General features: G+C 38.2%; 1 protein-coding gene and 1 long non-coding RNA gene across 2 annotated transcripts in view; one reads left to right on the top strand and one right to left on the bottom strand.

Annotated features, from left to right (window-relative positions):
- Positions 1-23,050, bottom strand: part of NXPH1 (neurexophilin 1) — a 319,353-nt gene that overhangs the window by 161,568 nt on the left and 134,735 nt on the right. The gene's annotated exons all lie outside the window — the stretch shown is intronic.
- Positions 1-23,050, top strand: part of LOC105375144 (uncharacterized) — a 67,939-nt gene that overhangs the window by 41,070 nt on the left and 3,819 nt on the right. The window lies entirely within an intron of this gene.

Genomic DNA, 23,050 nt, shown 5'->3' with positions numbered 1-23,050 from the left:
ATGAAAGTGGTGGTTAAAAACAAGGTCTCTAGAATCAAACAATTTGAGTATTAAATCTTAGATCCACCACTTACTAGCTCTGTGTCATTGAGTAAATTGCTCTTTCTCTATAAGCCTCAGTTTCCTCATCAGCAAAATAGGAATAACAATCTTACCTACCTGAAATCATTCTTGTGAGGGTCGAAGAAAACACATGAAAGAACGACACAATGTTTATCCCACTGTAAACACTCAATAAACATTAGGTCTCATTGGTTTTATTATCCTTCTTTGGTAACTGTAGGTGTGAGAAATAGTATCTTGTTTTCTCCTCTCTGCTTTTCTTACGCTGTTCTAAACTAAGCTATTCCCTGGTAGCAAATTAAACACTTCTGAAACTGCATGAGCACTTTCCAGCTTCTGGCATGCTATTGTGTACACAGAAGCAACACCTAATTGAAGAGTAGCCTAATAGCCTCAGAAAGCCGATGTAATTTTTTTAAAAAGCCATTGAGTTAAAAATAGGAACAGTTCAACGAGTGAGAAAATGAGCTTCTATGTGTTGCCTTGACATTATTCCTCAATACCATTTTTAAAAGAGCAAAATTTAGCAAAAAAACTAAATAAATATGCTAATCCTAATTGCTTACCAGTTCAACAAAATTGGAGTCAATTACTGTAAAAAGGTCCCTGTTTCTAGGAAGAATCATTGATGAGGGCAAAAAATATCTAAGTTAAAATAAATACACCAAGCCAAAGAATTAATATTTACAAATAGCAGAATGTGAATTTCAATTTTTAACATTTATTGTTCATGAACAGATTGAGTTATGCAAAAATGAGATGGCTTTAGTTTCAGGATCTTAAACCACCACATTCTTGCGGTAAGGCAGGTGTTGTCGCTATTATGTAAAAAGACCTGACATCTGTAAAGGTTCTAATTTTCCCACTAAATCCTGGACAAAGTTAGCATGTCCTTGGAGAAATGAAGCAACATCTAAAAAGAGCTTGGCCAGTCGACTGTTTTATATGGCTTAGATACAGCCTTGATTGGAAGCAGAAGGATCACTCTAGGGTTTGGCTAACCATAATTAAAACAAGTCTTTACCTGGTAGCCTAGACCTAGACTTACTTACTTATTTATATTTTGGAAGGAAGTAGAGAACTCTGGATGCAGAGTTTCGTATCTAAACCCACCCTCCAGTATCTGTCTCTCTAGTGATGCTAGATGCTTGCCCCCAAATGTTAGTGTCAGAATCCAAGTAGATTCCCAACATAGTCAACCTCCAATAACTATGAAAAGAAGAATGAAGCCAGGACATGGGTCAAGGCTTCAGGTTCATGTTCACTTCAGGCTCACTGTCATAGCCTCTCAGTGCTATCCAATAGAGCTTTCTGCCATGAGGGAAATGTTCTATGCCTGCACTGACTTTGAACCCCTAACCCCATGTGGTTATTGGGCACTTGAAATGTGGCTAATGAGATTGGGGAATTGAATTTCATTTTATTTTAATAAAGTTAAAGAGTCACCTGTGGCTAGTGGCTATCTATTGGATGGTGGCTGTTAGATGGTGGTTATTGGATGGTGGCTATCTATCTACTGGATGGTGGCTATCTATTGGATGGTGCAGCTACAACTGTAGACCTGCTCTCTGGTCTGTTTGTCCTTTCCCAGAGCATAGTCTTTAATAGCTTCCGTTCAGCCCCAACTTCATATTTGGTTCAAGATTTATACTTATTCACCAACTTCTCTTCAGGTTATCTTTTTCGTTCTTTTTCTGACTCACTCACCTGCTCTGTCTGCATGACCAATGCTCTTGTCTCCTGCCCCTGGAGTCCAGCATCAGAAGCTGATCTCCTCACCCTCACTTTTTGCTAGGTATAATACCCTCTCTGGTACATACTCCCTCAGAAACCACTCTTCCACCATCTCATGTCTTCAGCAGGATTCCATCCACATAGTTCTCAGCTATCTTCTCCTGTTTGCTGGTGTGCATACTTACTTTCTCCTTCTGGATAGTAATATTTCAAGGACTAATATTGCACCCATCAAAAACTACAATTTTCAGAAGTCTTGCTCAAAAATCTTATACCTTGTGACTTAATATGATGCAAGTGACCGGGCCTGCCAAAGATAGTTCAGCTCCACCTCTAATTCTCTGATTCTCAGATTCTATTTTAGGTGTCCATTTTCATCTTATACTTTAAGATTAGTCACCATTTTTTAATATTCACCTATAGCCTCCTTTCCACAGCCCAGAGCAGAGGAAAAATATTTTAGAAGTTAAATTTGATATTTCTAAAAGTCAGTTATCCAGGTGTGAAAGCAGGCAAACTTTATTGCACCAGAAAGCTGTTTTGAATCCTTTTTCCTCCACTGATAATAACATACTGCTTTATTCTTAAATTACAAACTTGGATAGTCTAGATTTTTTTCTATTTCCATATAGTGCTAATACACAAAGGAAATTTTTTAAAGATTACAGCATGCATGTAAATAAATTGTACACTTATCAACCTTATTTCCTTAATTGTAAACAATGAAGTTCCAAAGTGTTCTAAATTTTATGGCCTTATAATCGCATTTTAAGCACCCTGTCCATGTCAACCCAAGTGTAGTTTTATGTATATATCTGGCACCAATTAGAGGAGGGTGGCTGCTCAGCTCCCTCATCTTAGAACACAAGATAAACAGGAATGTACTCCAATTACCAGGTGTGTGCCATGTGACTCTATTCAAAATCCATTGGGCACCTAACCCAAGCCACACCAGTCTTTCCCCAAAGTCTTCCAAGATGGAACTAATGAAAAAGAGTCAGTACCTCTCTGGAGGGCTGTGGAAATTAAAGCCTGGGAGCCTTGAACAACCATATTCCCCACCATGTAGTTATGTGGTCTGTTGTGCAAGAGAAGGCCAATGTGCAAAAATAAGCAGAGATTCCATTCCATTTTTTTTTCACTGTCCTGGGACACAACTTTCCCTGTCTTTCCTGATTTATATCAGATATCCCAGTGCAGTTTTAATAAATTCCCTCTTCTTTGAGTTAGTACAAGTTATGTCTGCCACTTGCATCCATAGTGTCATTTAATACAATGTATTTAACATGTTAAAAAATTCACTCCTGTGTCTTTACAGTAGAATGATTTGTAACCCTTTGGGTATATACCCAGTAATGGGACTGCTGTGTCAAATGGTATTTCTGGTTCCAGATCCTTGAGGAATCGCCACACTGTCTTCCACAATGGTTGAACTAATTTACACTCCCACCAACAGTGTAAAAGCATTCCTATTTCTCCACATCTGCTCCAGCATTTGTTGTTTCCTGACTTCTTAATGATTGCCATTCTAACTAGCGTGAGATGGTATCTCATTGTCATTTTGATTTGTATTTCTCTAATGACCAGTGATGATGAGCTTTTTTTCATACATTTGTTGGCCACATCGATGTCTTCTTTTGAGAAGTGTCTGATCATAATTGCAGCAATATTTACAATAGCAGAGACTTGGAACCAACCCAAATGCCCATCAATGATAGACTGGATAAAGAAAATGTGACACATATACACCATGGAATACCACACAGCCATAAAAAAGGATGAGTTCATGTCCTTTGCAGGGACATGGATGAAGCCGGAAACTATCATTCTCAGCAAATTAACACAGGAACAGAAATCCAAACACCGCACGTTCTCACTCATAAGTGGGAGTTGAACAATAAGAACACATGGACACAGGGATGGGAACATCACACACTGGGGCCTGTTGGGCGGTTGGGGGCTAGGGGAGGGATATCATTAGGAGAAATACCCAATGTAGATGACGGATTGATGGGTGCAACAAACCACCATGACACGTGTATGCCTATGTAACAAACCTGTACGTTCTGCACATGTATCCCAGAACTTAAAGTATAATTTTAAAAAGATTATCTCCTGAAGCCAGAAACAGTGGCATGCACCTATAGTCCCAGCTATTTTGGATGCCGATTGGGAAGAATCCCTTGAGCTCAAAAGTTGGTGCCTATAGTGCACCCTGATCACTGTAGTAAATAGCCACTGCACTCCAGCCTGGGCAACATAGCAAAACTGCACTCCATTCCCCTCTATAAAAAAAAAAAAAGTTTAAAAATCTGCCCTTGAATAAATGCAGCACTGTGAATAAGAATTAGAGATATATACACGAACCCAGGAAATTTAAAATAAAGGATTGCACAGCCACTATTTTCAAATAAATGTCACAAAGGTATTAAGGTTATGAGAAACATGGTGCCTGAGATATGACTAGGAAATGAAATGTCATTTTGAATTCTCTGACATGTAAAGTCTTAACTGTATTTTGACACTATTTTTACATGAAAATAATAGAGAATATAATTTATAAGCGGGTATAGCATGATCCCATTTTTATTATTTATGATTATCTAATAATTATCTATGTATCCATCTTTATGCATTCAAAGAGAATTGCCTGGAATATTTACCTAATGTCAACAATAGTCTTTTCTCTAAGGGATAGAGTATTGCATGGTGTTTTACTTTCTCCTTCATAGTCTGATGCATTAAAATTCCCAACTCAAATCAATTGAAATACCTTACTCCACATTATCAAATATGTAAAACAACACAGAAAACCAACACAAAGAAAAATCTTAGAGCTATTCCAACTGGAATGCAAAAGGTTAAAAGTTTTGAAAATCACTACTTTTATCCTAAAATAAATCTCCAACTTACAGTATGTGAAGTTTCTACTCGATGTGTGTGTGTGTGTATATATATATATATATATATTCATTATTCTCTTAACATGCCATTCCTTCCCCCAGAATTTTTGGTCATGCTGTTCCTTAATCCCCTTTCTACCTTGGCTATTTGGCTCTACTCTTCAAGACTGAACAAAACTCATGTCTTCTTTGGAAACTTCTCTGACCATCACAGTATTCAGGGTCCTCATTTCCTCTTAGATCCTGTGGTCTCTACTTGCATACCAGCAATCAATTTGGCACTGGTTCATATGACATGGGCTTTTATTAATTAAGTTTCTATGAATTATTATCGAATTCCATACTAAACTCCCTACTCTTTGAGATCAGGAATAAATTCTCAAACCCATTTATACAACCTCCCTCCACAATCTTCTCCCCTTGCATTCCTGTTCTATGAGGTTCTAGTACAGTATCCCAAACAGCGTGTTTTGGGATTTGAATTTCCAGCATTTTAGGTTCCTCAGTGTTTTTGGATTAAAATTTTCATTTGATTTAGTCAATTGATTCCATTCTTATCTAACCAACTAAGATAGATACGGTGTGTTCATGATGAGATCGTTCAAGACTTTCTGTGTTACTATCACTCCATCTCTACAGCAAACTGTATTGCAAACCTCTCCATGATAACTTGTAAAAGGGTCGATGTCTGTTCCACACTGAGCTTTCTATAATGTTTTATCCCCAACATTCCCATGGAAAAATATTAGAGGAAGAAACAGTTCTAGGGTTCTAGCCAAGAACCCACCTATTCAGGTCAAGAAGTACTTCTTTCCAAAGCTCAATAAAGCCCTCCCGATAAAAATGTGGCACTGTCACAAATTGCAAATTGGCATGAAAAAGAATCTGAAAAGATTGCCAAGGCTGGCTGTCTGCCTGCCCTGCCCAATCACTTAAGAGAGTAGCACCAACTAATTGCAAATGTTTCAACATATGTGATGCACATTCATCTTTTTTATTTTAATACACAAACAAAGTTTCTTGAAATATAAACAGTCCAGCCAAAACATATCATATTACCAGATTGAGTGCAAGGATGCAAATAGATTCATAAAACATATTTAAGACTCTTAGATACGAGACACTTCAATGTAAGAGCAGCAAGACTGGGGCAAGTTTCCCTGTCCCTACGACTCTTTCTACCAACCCTGGCTCTTTCATCAGTAATCCTGGTTATGATTTACCCATGAATGATTATATCAAGTTACACTGAAAGAATTGAGCTACTCTCTAAGAATTACGTTATAGTAAAGCCAGAGTTCAAGATCCATAATAAAGGATTGTTTATAGCAAAAACACAAAGCTTCAGTTGAACTCCCCACTCCCAGGCAGAGCAAGCATACCTCATTTGGACCCCACAGGCAGAGCTGGGCACCTGTCAGCAGGTTGGATCCTTTTTACAAGGGCACAAATAAACAGAAGAGGCATCTCTTTATATTTTAAAAACACAGAAGAAAGAATTATAAGCAAACGAAGTATTTCATGTTACCAGATGTTGCAGACATAGAATAATTTTAGAGAAAGTCCCCCAAATTACTGATATTTCCCAATGAAAAGAGAGCAGTAAAAATATTAGGTAGGCCAGTTTCCAGACTTTGAACACTACTGACATCTCCAATATAGAAAAGTAATCAAAATGTAAAATGACAACTTTTTTTAAACTGTAGAGAGGCCTTAAGTCAATTTTTAACACAGAAAGAGATATCGATAGTCCTGGTTACCAAAGCAATTCCTATGTGGTCAGTCTAAGCAGTCTAAATGAGACAGAAATGTTTTAAGATACATAGTACAAAGTAATGTAAGATTGTGAATAATGTGAAAAGGCCACTGAGATAGGTAATAATTTGAAATGGGATACCTTGGACACAAAAGGATTGTGAAATTACTAGATGTTTAAATGGTGAACACAAACAACTTCAAACCTTAACAACCATCTCCATTCCGATCCCCCAGATTCCACTTGGAATCAGTGGTTAAGGATCTAATAAATCACAAATGTTTTTTGAACAAGTCCTCCAAACCCATGGTACTGATCATATTTCCATATCACTTTATCCCTCTGTGATACCATTTAATACTTTATTTTGTATTGGATCTCTGAGTGTGTATTTGTCTCTATAGAAAGCTTGGCTTATTAGATCTTGACCTCTTAAAGGAAATCTTATTCATCTTTTATCCCCCTATGAAACCTAAATAGCTTATATATAATAAAAATATGCATGCATATTTGTTAAATAAACTAAAGCTTTATTTTCTTGTTGAGGAAGACAAGTCTGTAGGGGAAGAAGGCAAACTAAGCTATTCTGTGCTCCTACAGGGATTGGGGAACAATGTTATTGGTGTTTCAATAGTCTCTTTTAATCTTCACAGTTAAGAAAGTTCTAAGTATGGAGGTTAAGATTACAGGCTCTACAGTCTGACTATCTAGGGCCAAGTCCTGATTCCACTTTACAGCTCTATAAGATTCAGCAAGTTGTTTCACCTCTCCATGCCTCAGTTTGATCGTATATAAAATTAGGATAATAATAGTACTTACCTCACCAATGTGTTGTGAATATTAATTGAGTTAATATCTGTAAAGTACACAGAACAGCATCCAATGCATAGTAATATCTGAAGAAAAATTAGCTTACACTTATTAATAGTTTGGGAGAACTGACAGGCTCAGCCATGTTAAATTTTCTGTGAGAGACCATGCAGATAACTGTGTTCTCACTGTATGCCATTAGCTACTGGAAGCTTGACCACCACTTTACATCTTCCATATCCAACAAAGAGCTCCATGACCGGGCTGTAGCATGAAAGAATAACTTGCTACCCTACCTCTCCTCCACCTCTCAGAGGAGTTCCAAAAGATAAAGAGGGAATGGGAGGGGACTACCTGCCCTCTCACCTTTGTCAGTTCTCAAGTCCTGACCACCTGGCAAATGTCTGTGAACCACTGTTGCTGCACTTGTTGCTCTCGGCCCCTGTTCAATATCTGCTCTCTCTACCAGAAAAGCAGAGTATGTCATCCTTCACCAGGGTAGTGGCATCCTCGATTCTATCACTAAGTGCTGTGTAACACATTTCTTAAACCCCCTGCAACTCAGTCTCTCCCACTGTAAGATGGGGGTAATAATGGGGTAATAATAATAATAATGATAGCAAACATGCATTGAATGCTTACAATCTGTTAGGCACTGACCTTACTTCACTTAAAATTCACATAATCTTATGATACAGGTACTATTATTATCCACATTTTACCTATAGATAAGGAAACTGAGGCATAGAGAGGCCATGTAACTTGCCTAAGGTCACATAGCTAATAAATGGCTGTGCCAGGATTCAAACTCAGACACTCTGATTCCAGACCCCAGAAGGCACTTTACAATGCGTGTCTACCTATAGTAGATGGTTGGGAAATGCCAGATCTCTGTACCTATTTTGGGAAGTCATAATAGATATACAGATTGGCAGACAATTTAGAAGTCAGGATGGGAGTCCTCATTATATCCTTGTGGGCAAGAAAGCATCCAGCCTATACTTGAGCAGATCCCTAAGCACAGCTGGGATCTGTCACCAAGCCTGGGCACTGTCACAACCCGGCCAAGTGTATGCACACTCAGGGTGGTGCTGACATGCCAGCCACCTGCCCCCTTGGCCCCCTTCAGACTTTGGGTGCCAACAGGCATGGGAGGAAGGCCAAGGGGGTGCTGAGGGTGGCTTGGCGTGGGCCTGCAGCTGCCCCTCAGCGTGAACAGCCTGGGTGCCATTGACAACATAATTGATGGCAGCAGGAGGCTGACAGGCTCCTGGGTGGAAAGGGGTGGGTCCCTAGTGAAGCTCCACCTTCAAGCCAGGGACAGCCTGAAGCATGGGGGCTGGACTGTCAGTTCCAGGTGGAGTTAGCACCCAGAGTGAGAATTTACTCATAGTGCTTTTTCTGGCCCACCTGTGGGGCCCATGGACCAATCAGCATGCACTTCCTCCCTTCTGAGCCCATAAAAACCCCCTAGACACAGCCAGACTCACACAGTTGTCTGAACTACCAGCTACAGGAAGAAGCAACCCACTTCGGGTCACCAGGATAACCTTCCTGCAGAAAGGAGCTACCCACTGCAGAGCTACCCACTGCAGGTCTCCTCTCTGCTGAGAGCTGGACACTCGTCGGGACAACCTGCTTGAAGAAAGGAGCTACATGCTCCAAGTCTCCTGCGAGCTATTCTATCACTCAGTGAAGCTCCTCTCCACCTTGCTCGCCCTCCAGTTGGGTGTGCACATACCTCATTCTTCCTGGTCACAGGACAAGAACTCAGGACCTGCCAAATGGCAGGACTGAAAGAGCTATAACGCAAACAGGGCTGAAACACAGACCCCACTCACCATACTGTGGTCAATGAGAAGGCAACCAGACCTGGAGGCTCTCAGAGCCAGGGCTATGACACTGTCTTTGGGGCTCTGTGATTCCCGGCATCTACAAGCTTCCCAGTGCCACTGGGTTCCCCTCATCCAGATGCCAGTGCCCACAGTGGAAGCTGCGTGCAGTACATCTGATCCAGCAACAGCCTGTCACAGAGCCAGCACCTGTGCTGGTGCCCGGAGCTGCCCACCCTGCCACAGCAGCCAGTATGCCTGGCTATGTGCAGACGCCAGACCCAGCACTTGCTCACCCACACACCCCTCACCACTCTGCACCTGTCTCGCCCTTGGCAGGTATAGGATCTGGGCTGGTAGCACAAGCAGAGGCAGCAGGGGCAGAAGATGCAACTGGCCACAGAGGTTTCTGGCTAGCAAAGCAACACCCCAAGGAGCCCATGACACTATTACTTTGTTTAAATGGCAATTTCTCTGGGGAGTCCTTTTTGACCTCCTGTACTCTCCCTCCCAAATAAGCTGAATATCGCTACTTTGTCCCCTAGTTACCTACAATTTCCTATTTTGGCTCCTATCACACTGGACTATAAAAGCTCTGTTTCATATGTGTGTTTCTTTCTACACTCTAAGCTCTGTGAAGACTCCAGCATGTTGTGCTAATCATTAGGATATGGTTTGGATTTGTATCCCCACTCAAATCTCACGTCGAACTGTAATCCCTGATGTTGGAGGAGGGGCCTGGTGAGAGGTGATTGGATCCTGGGGGCAGATTTTCCCCTTGCTGTTCCATGACAGTGAGTGAGCTCTCACATGATCTGGTTGTTAAAAACTGTGTGGCACTTCCCCCATTCTCTCTCTTCCTCCTGCTCCAGCCATGTAAGATGTGCCTGCTTCCCCTTTGCTTTCCGTCATGATTGTAAGTTTCCGAAGCCACCCTAGCCATGGCTTCCTGTACAGCCTGTGGAACTATGAGCCAATTCAACATCTTTTCTTTATAAATTACCCAGTCTCAGGTAGTTCTTCATAGCAATGCAAGAATGGACTAATACATATTATTTCCCCAATGCCTGATACATAGATGTCTTTAATAAGTATATATTTTTAAAAAAAGGAAGAACAGGAATGAGAAAGAGAATGGCTTTCTCTTCCATCCTAACCCCTCTGGGGAAAATTTCAATAAACCTGAAAATTCTAGGATTGTAGACCAAAGATTTCTAGAATGGTAGAGGTGGAAGGTGAATGTAATGTACTCCCATTTGGTCCTTGATTGTAACTCCCTTTCTTGCTCAGGGATTTAGCATTTCTCAGGGATGAGCACTCATTCAGAAACACTAGAGGACTAGAAGAATTGATGGTTATGTTTTTAAAAATCCAAATAAAAAGGAAAATGTTAAGAATATAAGAACAATTCCATCTGCCAAGTTCCAGATGTTAAAATATTTCACTGATAGAAGGACAGAGATTTGAAGAAAGCAGGTGCCCTAATTGCTCTGGAAGGAATTTAAGCCTAACAGGCCCCAGAAACTACTTTTTTTCCCTCTGCATAAGAAGAAAAAAAAAAGTGACCAACACAACTCAGCCTGCATGAATGCCGCAGATTCAGCTTGGGTGTCAGGGAACTTCACTCAAGTGCCAATCAGAATTCTAAGCTCTCCAGAGGTTTTTCTGGATCACTGCCAGTCAGTACTATGACTGATATCTTTTTCTTCAGACATTGAAACATTCAAAAATAAAAGGAAAATATGTTCAGCTGCTGCCTCTTCAGCAGCTTTGCAATTTTCCAAGGATCAGCCTCTCTCCCATTCTCAGCCCCCTAATCTCCAAGCAGAGTAATAGCTTCTTCTTGCCTGAGGAAGCAGTCTCTGGTTAGTAATTCAAGAATTCTTGGTTTCCTAATCTTTTTCTGCCAAGAGTAAGTGGATGTTAGTAACATCCTGTCTCTCTTCTTGCCTTTATTTTCAATCTTTCAAGGTGTCATAGGCAGTGGAAGTATAAACTTTTAACAATAGCAGCCTGTGACTATCTCCTCTAAACTCCATATTCAATCAGCATTATCCTTTGCCCATACCCATTCTTGATTCGGCATATAAATGCTGCATAAGCTACCTTCCTTCTGTTCTCTTACATGGAAGGTCATAAGTCCCGTCCATATCCTTACATGCCCGTTCCCCAGTGAAGCAGGCCTCAGGGCCTCAGCCTACTTTGTTCTCCTTAACTAACAGCCACTGCCCATTTTATGCTTTTTAGTTCTTGGCCAAAAGTAGTTGTGGAATGGCACAGACTCTTCCCATCTCTCTCCACTCACTGTTTCTGATAACAAATACATCAACCGTTTTTTATGTAAAGACTTTGCTTTTTCTCTGTAGGTCTGAAGCCAGAGGCATTCAATGCAGACAAATGCCTGACCCGCTTCTAGATGATCCCTAGATGCCCCCCAATGGATTTAATAGGGATGGCTATAGCTGGACCATCCTTCAAGGTCTCTGATAGCCCCTGTGATCTATGCTCTGCAACACTGCCAAAGATGCTTCTGGCAATCAAGTGGAACAATCATGTGATTTAAATGAAACCAAGTGGATAAAACAAATTACATTCTGAATTTTGTGTCATAAAACTTGAATTCCGGCCAGGCGTGGTGGCTCACGCCTATAATCCCAGCACTTTGGGAGTCTGAGGTGGGCGGATCATCTGAGGTCAGGAGTTTGAGACCAGTCTGACCAACATGGAGAAACCCCGTCTCTGCTAAAAACACAAAATTAGCTGGGCATGGTGGTGCATGCCTGTAATTCCAGCTGCTCAGGAGACTGAAGCAGGAGAATTGCTTGAACCTGGGAGGCAAAGGTTTCAGTGAGCCAAGATCACACCATTGCACTCTAGCCTGGGCAACCAGTGTGAAAACTCTGTCTCAGAAAAACAAAACAAAAAAAAAAAACAAAAAAAACTTGAATTCCATGAATCTTAGATTAATAGCGAAGTTCCTTACTCTACCACAAATGAGTTATAATTTTAGGTAAGTCTTGTCTTTGCCATCACTGAATCTGTTTTATTCCTCTCTTTTAAAGCAGGTATTTGGTTGCTCGCTCTCTATCTGTCAAGGATACTCTAATAAAGAAATAGTGAGTACTAAAAGATGAAAGGATTGGAAAGAAAATCTGAGTTCAAGTTCTAGATCAGCCACACGCAGCCTTGCACTTCACGTTTCTCCCTTTAACTTTCACAAACATGTGGTACTGAGTGGTCTAAGGTGATGAGTACCTGGCCTCTGCCTGCTTCTCTAGCATCATCTAGCACCAAGTGTCCTCTTCCTTGTCCTGCTCCATCCATACCTGAGTTCTTTCAGGTTTTCAAACAACACATGTTGTATCCTGACTCAGGCTTTAATATGCCTAGAATATTCTGCCTCATCTTTACCTACCACACTTCTTCCATTTGATAACTCCTGCAATCTTGTAAGGCTCAACTGAACTAAAATGCTTTCAGAGAAGCCTTTCTTGGTCCTTATATTACTTTGGCTTCCCCCTGTTTTATGTTTCCATAGCAACTTATGCCTGATCCTTGGCAGCAAGCATGCTCTGGTAACCATTTAAGTGTTCCTCCCCTCTTCAGTGAAAACAGAGACTTTGTCCGTCTTTATTTCTGCTATGACCTCAGTACCTAGTTCATGACCAGCCTGCAGTAGTTACTCAATACAGATTTGTTAACTCCTTATCTATAAAATCTGCTCTGCTTTCAGAGGACTATAGTTATTGTATGAAAGTACTTGGTGAACTGCAAAAGTAAATTGCAAATTGCTAGAAAATTCTAAGTCACTACTATTATCTATGGCATGAATTCTGAAAAGCTCGAATTGTAACTGTCTATTTGCTGAGGCTATAGTTGAACTTTATTATTGTTTGGGACATGGCTGAGATGTGAATATAGACAGTCCCTGACTTAACGATGATTTGATTTAGGATTTTTCAAAGTTACAATCATGCAAAAGGGAGACACATTCAATGGAAACTGTACTTCAAATTTTGAATTTGACCTTTTCATCTTACAGTATTTTCAACTTACAATGGGTTTATCAGGATGAAAGCCCTTTGTAAATCAAGTAGCTCCATGCTACCCTCCTCCGTTATAGAAGGGAGAATAATACCTTCAGGTAGGAACCAGTGTTGGAGTCTACTGCAGTGTAACAAATCGCCCCAAAAGTTAGTGGCTTAAAACAATAAGAAACATTGATTATCTTTCAACGTTTTGATGGGGAAAAAATGTAAAAGTAGTGTGGTTAGATATTTCTGGCTCAGAGTATTTCGTGAGGTTTCTGTCTGAGGTCCGCTGGGACTGCAGTCATCTGAAGGCTTGCATAGGGCTGGATGATCCACTTCTAAGGTGTCTGCTCACTCATGTGGCTCACAATTTGGTACGATAAGTAGCCTCAGTCCCTCTTCAAATAAGCCTCTCTCAAGTGATTCAAGGAGCAAGTGATTCAAGGAAACAAGATGGAAGACCCAATGCCCTTTGAAACCAAGCCTTGAAAATCACACATCATCACCTCCGTAATACTTGTTCAGTTACACAGGCAAGCCTTGACTCACTGTGGAAGGAGACTACACAAGGGCACAGTATCAGGCGGTAAGGAGCACTGGAAGCCTTCAAGCTGGCTTCCACAGATGATGTCATTTTCTCTGTCCAGAGTCACTAGTACAGTGCCTCATGCACAGTGTGTAATTGATAATAAATGTTTGAAGGGAACTATGGCTGGAATCATAGATCAATAGATGAAAGGGTGGCCCAAGGAACAAATGGTAGTTTTTGATGTAAACAGTAAACAAACAAACAAACAAAAACAAGGAATACTGAAGCAAGTAATGAAACTACACATACATATTCCCCAATCACCACAGCAAAGAAGATTGTTACTCTCCTGGTTTTGAGGAGAAGGTTAGTGATAGTGGGAGAAGACACATACCCCTGCAACAATTCCCAGGTTTCTGAATGCAGTCTTACTTGATCCACTAGCATAGCTCTGAATAAAATGTATAGATAAATAAACTTTATCACTTATATTAAAAGAAACGATAAGAGGATTAGAAACTGCCAAAGTCAATCTTTTTTGCATTATCCTTGTAATGGAAATTCACAATTTAGATACTCCCGTGAATGTTATGCAAATACATTAAACAATACAGGGAGGATTTGAGCTTTTAGAATTCCTGACTAATACAGTATTAATATTATTATCATTTCAAATGTTCTAATAATAACATTATTTCAAAGTTATAATAATAACATTATTTGCATTTTCTTTGGCCTTGTTTCTAAAGGAACTCAGATGCTTGAGTAAATATTTGTAAATTTTCACCATAAAAGAGTAAAGGCCATTCAGAGTAAAAAGAGAATTTTGCAGACCAGAATTGATTACTTTAATATTCAAGATTACTAGTTCATCTGGAAACATAACTCTGACCCTATAGGAGTTTATAATCTAATGAACTCAAGAGAAAAGCAACATTTCAATGAAGAACAACCATCATCAGTACAAGGAACAAGTCAAAAACATGGTACTTATCCTATCACATCTCTCTCCCTCACCTCTCTTATCTAATAAATCACTATCTCCTAGATCCTTTTTTTCTACTGTCTGTTCCACAAAGTCATGTACGATCTGGTCCCAATATAACTTTCCCACCTCACCTCACAAGACCCCTCCTAAGCCTACGTGTGAAAGAAGGCTGCAGCCTTCCTTCAGTCCTACATTACAGTCATTCACCACTTTCTTCCATAAGCTACATTGTCTAGAATGTCCCTCAGTACATCCTTTCATTCAAACGTACTTCAAGAAAGGTTTCCTTGCGCTTCAGTAGAAATTAGTTCTTCCTATTATACACATGATAGCACCATGTCTGTCCTTAATACCACTTATCGCAGCTGTCACTTTTATTCCCTGTGGAACAAGTCAGATAGCATTGATTGCCACATTCTCCTCACTCCTACCCCAAAGGGCATGGATGATGACTACTTTGGTCATTATTGTGCTCCCAGTGCCCAACACAGTGTTCAAGGCATAGTTGATGTTTGCTAAGTATGGAAACATGAAATGAATGGAGTTTTCAAACATATGCCTAGAATACAGTTAAGACCATGGAAGAGTTTGATATACTTGCTTAAGAAAAAGAAAGCAAATAAAAGGCATATCTCTCTTCATCAGTTCTTGTGTTGTTATCAGTGGCTAGAATAAAAAGAGATAGAAGCTATTCTGGACAATCAGAGAAGCAGGTATACCCATCCCCTATTGAGATGGGAAGTTTTTACAGATGATAAAATCTCTCTAATAATCTTGAAATATAAGTTTGTTGATAGCAGTTCTTTTTCATTTAGAAGGCTTTCAAGCACTCTATAAAGAAGGAAGAAACTGGAGAGAGAGGAAATAATGGGAAACTATGATCCAGCAACAGGCTGCAGAATATATCCACCAGTATCCATAAAATGGGCCTATACATAAGCCATAGCTAGCTAACTTTGACCAAGTAAGAGCTTATTTAAAAAAAAAAAAGATCATTGCCCAATGCCTCACCTTTTGGTAGAATTAAAGAAAAATAAAACAGTGCTTCACAGAAAAACAGGAAACATTATAGAAAATTATATTAAGTGCATAGGCCTATCCAGATAATTCAAATGGAATAAATCTATTCACATTGAAAATATGGAGCTTACAGAACTTATGTTCTTTCTGCAGAAAAGTTAGCAGCAGACTTTTAAGATCAGAGCAACAGCATTGACTGTAGGTAGAAGTAATTTCATATACTTCAACTCTTTTAAAAGAATTTCTATGCTTTCTATTCATTGAAACAAATTCTAAACATGAACTCCAAATTTCTATTAGGACAGTCACATATAAAACAAAAGAATTTTAATGAGTTTTCTTCCCAAAATACCCAGAGGTATAAATTCACATTAAGGATTAATGACCTGTCAGCTTGTACTTAAAGGAGAAAAAGAGACATTTTAGTTGTAGAAATTCAAAAATAAAAGAGTATGAAGTAAGAAAACTTATCATTTTTCCCTTTTGTGTCATAAAGAGAACTGACCTGATTTATTTGCTTTAAATTGGCCAAAAGAAAAATGGATTAGAGTTGGCCTTTTAAGCAAAAATTCATTCTGAGCAAAGTTTTATGACAAAATTAGAAGGCTTAGTCAGAAATACTCTTTTAGTCACTTAAAGGATACAGCATTAATGTCAGAGTCAAACATAATATAAAAGGGAGAAGCTATTTACATTTTAGATTTAACAGAACGTCTCCGACGAATGCTATAATGTCGAAGGAGTACCTCACTCTCTTAACCAAGCATGTCTGGTGGTAAGTGCCATAAAACTACTTGAATTGCTATTTCAAACCATCAGTGCATTTTTATCCCTATTTTTTAAAGTCTTATCTATTTCAAGTAAAAGTTAATGCTCAGTTTTCTGATTCATTTACACTTGATGCACAGCCATGCCAGAGAAACTCTATTTGAGGTCCTATGAATCTCTTTTCTTCCCTTTCGAATTGAGAAGGGATGTTGTGACAGCAGGAGACGGAATCCAAGGCTGAACAAGATCAAGTTGAATTTGAAACACAGAACCTTCAATGTTTAAATAGATTCTAAATTTGGAAGCTTTCATTGTCCCACCCACTAAGTACATGTGATGCAGACACCAGGAAAACAACCTGTGGTGTTGTTTGGCCTTCCTTCTCCATCTGGGGTTCCATCTTCCTTTTTGTGGGTATGCACTCATGTGAAAGAAGTTAACAGATTCCATCTTTTTCCTTCAGAAAGAGACAACCTATTGACTAGACTGAGCAATCTTAAACTGAATCTGTAATGGCTCCATAAAAACATCTATGTGATGAGAGAAAATAAAATAAAGTCAGTTCGAGTCAGAGTCCCAGCTACTTGGGAGGCTGAGGCAGGAGGATCGCTGGAGCCCAGGAGCTGGAGACAAGCCTGGGCAACATAGAAAGACCCCATCTCTTAAAAAAATGTTTTTAATTTTGAAAATTTAAAAAAACAGTTTTGCCTAGAAAATATAAAATAAATTTGAGTATTTTATTTAGCTTTTCAGATGAATATTTCATGTCATAGACAAACAGAACACTTAGGGAAAAGGTGCAAACCGTGTACAGATTTTAAATAGACAATATGTACCTGAATAGCCTTTTTATACCATTTTTGCTCTTCTGGTCCTGCTCAGAGCCTGAACACTTACAGGGCACATCATTAAGCTAGAAGGTCCTAAGAACATCTTAAATCCTCAATAAATCTTTATGACACTCACAGTTCTGTATACCACCAGAGTACACCTTTAAAGGTTTCCATGACATAGAATTGACCTAGCACTTTTTACCTTCCAGGAGCTTTATGTAGTCACTGACAGAAGTGTGTAAAAATCAATTTATGTTCAATAAGGTAAATGTCAATGATGTCTTTAAACATCAGGAGCCAATGGCATAGTTTATTTCCAGACATTCAAATTTTGATAGCTGATGACCTTAAATATTATTTGGTCATGATCCAAAAGTTCAGAGACATTTAATAACCTATAATTAACTGGAAGAAAGTTCTAAAGTCATGGCATTCTCCTACTCAGAAGCCTTCCATGGCTCACAACTCCCTGCAAAAAGAAAGCTCATTGCATTAGTTTGGCATTTAAGAGCTTCCATAACCTGGTTCTAAAGTGCCTTTTCAGGCTGTTTGTACCTATCCATCACTCATGCATTATGCTCCAAAATATTCCAACTGTTCCTTGTTGCCAAATACATACTACACTTCCCCACCTATGCCCTATAGTGCTCTTTTGTTTCCTGTCTCTATCTGTTGACTCTTCAAGTCTAAATTGGGATAATCTATTTATAAAGTAGTTCGGTAGTATGTATGTCAAGACCATTCATGTCGTTTTATACCCTTAATTCCCAAAATTTACTTCTAAGACTCAGAAATAGAGATATAAATTTATTTAAATGTAAAACAGTTGCTTAAAAACCTTATCAGTACATAAAAACCCAAAGTTAGACAATTATATTGAAAATCACTACTCACCAATATAATGTATGATTGGTTTAAATGATGTGAACAGAGAGTTTTTAATGACAAGGAGAAATGTTTAAGACATTTGTTAAGTGAAATAGCAGGACAGAAAATTGCATGTACACAGTATGATCTTAACTGGGTAAAAAAAAAAAAACTCAGAGAAAGACTGGATGGAAATATATCAAAACAATATCAGTATTTCTAGGTCTTGAGATTCAGGGTAATTGTTTTCTGCTGCTTTTTTAAACTCCCCTCTACAAAATTCCTGCATGTATTACTTTTAATCAGAAAAAAAATAACATACTGAGGTTTTTTCAAATCCTGTATTTTAAGAAGATGCTCTCATGCTGCCCTCTGTAAGACCTTCTCAAATGACCCTTGATGGAAGTAATTCCTTATTTCTCTGTGGCCTCATAATATTTCTTACTTCCAACTATTTTTAATTGCATATTCTGTTTGATATATTTGTTGAATTTAATTGAAAAAAAACTAATATATACCCAAGTCTTAAAATTTTAAAAAACAGATCCAACCGAAAAGGAGGTTTCCATTATGTATTAGATGCTACCTGCAATAGAGTTTGATTTTTCAACATTGCCTTGTTCACTACAAGCACATCTGCTTAATATCAGAGTCTGCTTTAAAAAAATAAGCATCAGGCTTTACCTTCACAGCTCTATGTCTACTGTTTGTTTGATACCTTACACCTTAATAATAGACTGTCTTGCCACTAAATGCTGTATTATGATTATAGAATGAGGTGCTAAAACGTATGCAGGGTTTAAAAAATAAGTCAGTAATTTTATCATAAGCACAGGAAGAAAAATCATGGCATAATTTTTCCAGCAAGCTTGTTCTGTTTCTTTTTCTCCAAATTGAATATATACATGTTTGTATTAATCACTGCTTTAAATTTCTACATAATGTTTTACAAAATTCTCAGCTTAGCCCTTAAACATTATTTGCTATTTTCATTATATCTGCAATATATATATTGCAATTATTTAATATAATTAGGGCATTGGAGGAAGTATCCAGATAAAATATATGACATCTACTTAATTTTGAATTTCAGATAATGATTCTTTTTAAAATATATGTATATTCCATGCATTATTTAAGACATACTAAAAAATTATTTGTGTTCATCTAAGATTCAGATTTAACTGGGTGTCCTGTTTTTTGCTAAATGTGGCAACTCTGAGTTGGGGAGTGATTGCATATTTAGAGATTCCACAATCTGGCTAAATAACCTTTCAAGCCTACCCCTTGGTAGCATTTCATTTCAACTCAGCAGATAGTGAATTCAGATATCTAAATTATTCACATCCTTCCAAACCAAGTGTTTTTTTTTTTTTTTAACAAGTCCACCAACAATGATGCCAAGGAATCACTAGGACTCCTTAACCTCTCCAATTCCAGAGCTTGAATTCCTGCCAAGTCTATGGAGGAGAATTACGTACAAATTACCAAGCTTTGTTGTGTCTTACGGTTTTATTTTTATGCATTTATACTTGACAGAGGAACCAGAGATCTTTGACTTTACAAGCTCAAAATTTTTCAGAGTAGTTAATGCTTACTAGAGAACCAATTCTAATTTGTCCTTGTTCTGTTGTAGAAGAACAGTAGAGAGGGATATGTCTAGCATTTGTCCTTTTGGGACTCTTCCTTGACATTAAGATAACCGCTTTCTTAAGATTTTCCTCATTATAAAGTGACTCCTTTTTCCTCAATCCATTTCTTATGGATCTTCCATGTCCTACAGGCTGCTTAATATGCAATAAAATGAGTTCTTTTTCCCACCTCTGTTCCCCCCAAATTTCCCCTTTTCCTGTGTTTCCCATTGCCATCCACAAAGAAACCCTAATAAGTAATCACAGACATATTCTCGATGGGCATCCTCTTTACTACCCACTATCCCCATACCATATCAGTCAAATCTTTTCAGTTCCACTTCTTAAATATATCTGGGAGTGGTCCTCACACCCTCCTTTACATCCCACTATTCCTGTCTTAGCCCAGACTCTCCTATGACATTGTCAAGCCAGTGTTTTTCAAATTTCAACATGCTATAGCTCACCTGGAGATCTTGTTAAAGATTCTGGGTGAGGTGGGACCACATAATTCTAAGTGGGACCAGGAATTCCCATTTCTAACCAGAGTTAGATTAGATTAGATTAGATTAGATTAGATTAGATTAGATTAGATTAGATTAGATTAGATAGACAGACAGATAGACAGACATATATATACTGATTCTGTTGATAACAGAAACCACCTTCTGAGTAGGTTATTTTTATAAACTCCCAAGAAGTCTTCCCTCAATTGCAATTCATCACAATACTGCTATTGTTCTCTTGGTTAAGATCTCCTTATGACTCTTTTGCCTACCAAATTATCAAAATATAAACCACCCAATCTACCATGACTGTATCATGCCCTGTTCCTTTCCATTCCAAAGACCCACATTTTAAACTCTAACCCTACTCCACTTCTCTCTGCTCCTGAAACTCTTCCCTCCCACTTCCAGACCTTTGTACATTCCAGGTCCTTTGTCTAAGTTGTACTTAGAGTAATCTTTGCCTGCATAACTCCTTCTTCCTGTTGAATCTCAAATGTCATACTTTCTCTGTGAAAACTTCTATGATCCCCTCAGTAAAAACCCCCAACACCCAATATGATTATCTGCACTTCCCACAATTGGGTGCCTTCGCACATCACTTTCTACATATGCTGATTACTATAGTATACAAGGCTCATTATTTACTAATTACTGTGCTGTGTATGTTATGTGCCGTCTTCATAACAATCCTATAAGGTAAGTACTATTCTATCCCTCACTTCACAATGACACTAACGCACAAAAAGATGACTTTGCCCAGGATCACGCAGCTTATTCATGCCAGAGCCAGGTTTCAAGTCCAAAAGGTCTAGTGCTAGAATCTATCATCTTAACTATGCTGCCTCCATTATCATATCTCACTTTAGTTACCAAGTTGAACTGCATGAAACTGCTGATATTTAACAGTTTTATATCAACAAAACATCAATCTCTTCTGAGTCAATTTTTTAAATAAATTAAGAACCATTCATGGGGAGAAGTGTATCTTTTTTGTCATAAAATCCTGTGGATATTGCACAGGTTCTGGCACATAACTGGCACTCAATTGATCTTTGTTAAGTGAGGTAAAGACAGTAACAGCTCCACTTTATTGAGGAGTGAATGAATGCTGGGCATTGTACCAACTATTTTACATACATTGTCATATTTAAACCTCATTACAATCATATACTATGGGTACTATTATTTTCACATCACAAATGATAACTCTAATGGCTGACAGAGGTGAATGCCCATAGACACACAACCAGTAATAGACCAAAGTAATACCGTAGGTATCCCTCTCCTAATAAATAAGTTGTCAGCCTTCAGTGTTGAGTAGTGTGGGAACCTACAGAATATCATTTTTTCTTACCAAGTCAAACCTGAGTTGTGGTTCTAAAGATCTTGCCCACTCTAGGAAGAAGACAAACCTCTGTTAGCTTGTTTTGTAATTTTCTTACTTTGAAAACTCTGAAACACACACAAAAATAGAGATGAGTGTAATAATCTCCCATAGACCCATCATCCAGCTTCAAAAATTAATTACAACTTGCCATTCATGACTGCTCCTGCCCTCCCACATTTTCTTTTATTACTGAACAGCTTTAAAGTAAGTCCCAAATATTATATCATTTTACTCATAAGTTTATCAGTATGTATTGCTAACAGATATCTTAAAATAGTTATAAGATTATCACACTTAACAAAATTAATACCTCTAAATGAAATCTAATACTTGTCTATTTTTCCTTGATTATCTCAAAAATATTCTTTTATAGTCATATTTGAATTTAAATCCTAACAACGTATATCCCTTTCAATGGGTTGTTATGTATATTGTTTCTTTTAAAGTACAATGGCTCCTCCCCCTTTTCTAATTTTCTCATGACATTTATGTAGAACTGGTAGCTAGGTGTAGAAGCTTAATTAGATTTAGGTTCAATTATTTTTGCAAAACTTTCATAGGTGATGCTCTCCATGTCCAGAGTTATTGATTAGAATGCACATAATGTCTGGTAATCCCAAATTAGTAGATTGATGTGATGCATCAGAATTGGCAACCTGATGCATTAATTACTCTGTGTTCGAATTTCATCAAAACAGTTTTAAATTCATAGACTTATATTGTCAAGGGTCAATATTTTAAAGGCTTTTAAAATTATAATTTTTTTCTAATTCCATAATCCCCTTGCATTTGTTAACTTGGAATTCTTATCCATGATCAAATCCCTGTTGCATTGCTCAGTAAATGGGTCAGGTTACAAATGCAAAGATATCAAACACTGCACTCAGTACTGACTTGGAGGCAGATAAAAGTCTCTAGCTTTAGAAAATACTACCCATTTAAGGACCAAAGAAAAAGCCCTCCATCAAACTGTAGTTGACATAGACCTCAAGTACCAGCAGGGTACTCAGTTCTTCACTGAACATTTTGGCACTGATTCAATAAATATTTATTCTGTTGAAATGAGAATTTTTTTTTTTTTTTTTGCTAAGAATGAAAACTTTCTTTTATGCATTATGTAAGGGATATTTGATGACATATTGCTTGATCAAAGCATCAAGTTTGGAGATTTGCACACATACAAAATAACAGAACCACAGTTAGGAGGTCATAATGCTGTGAAAAGAAACAAAAAATGGTCTCCTCATTGCATTAACATAGTTTACATACAAAATACAGCCTTCTCTTTATGCATCTGCACATAAGCTGCTATTTTGGGGCCTTGTGTAAAAATTTATCATTTAAAATATTTGCAGAAAGCATGAGATTTTTAAAAATCATAGCATCAGG

Source organism: Homo sapiens, chromosome 7, assembly GCF_000001405.40.
Source record: "Homo sapiens chromosome 7, GRCh38.p14 Primary Assembly".
NCBI classification, from domain to species: domain Eukaryota; kingdom Metazoa; phylum Chordata; class Mammalia; order Primates; family Hominidae; genus Homo; species Homo sapiens.
The sequence above is the reverse complement of the archived record's forward strand: the minus strand, read 5'-3'. Positions and strand labels throughout refer to the sequence as shown.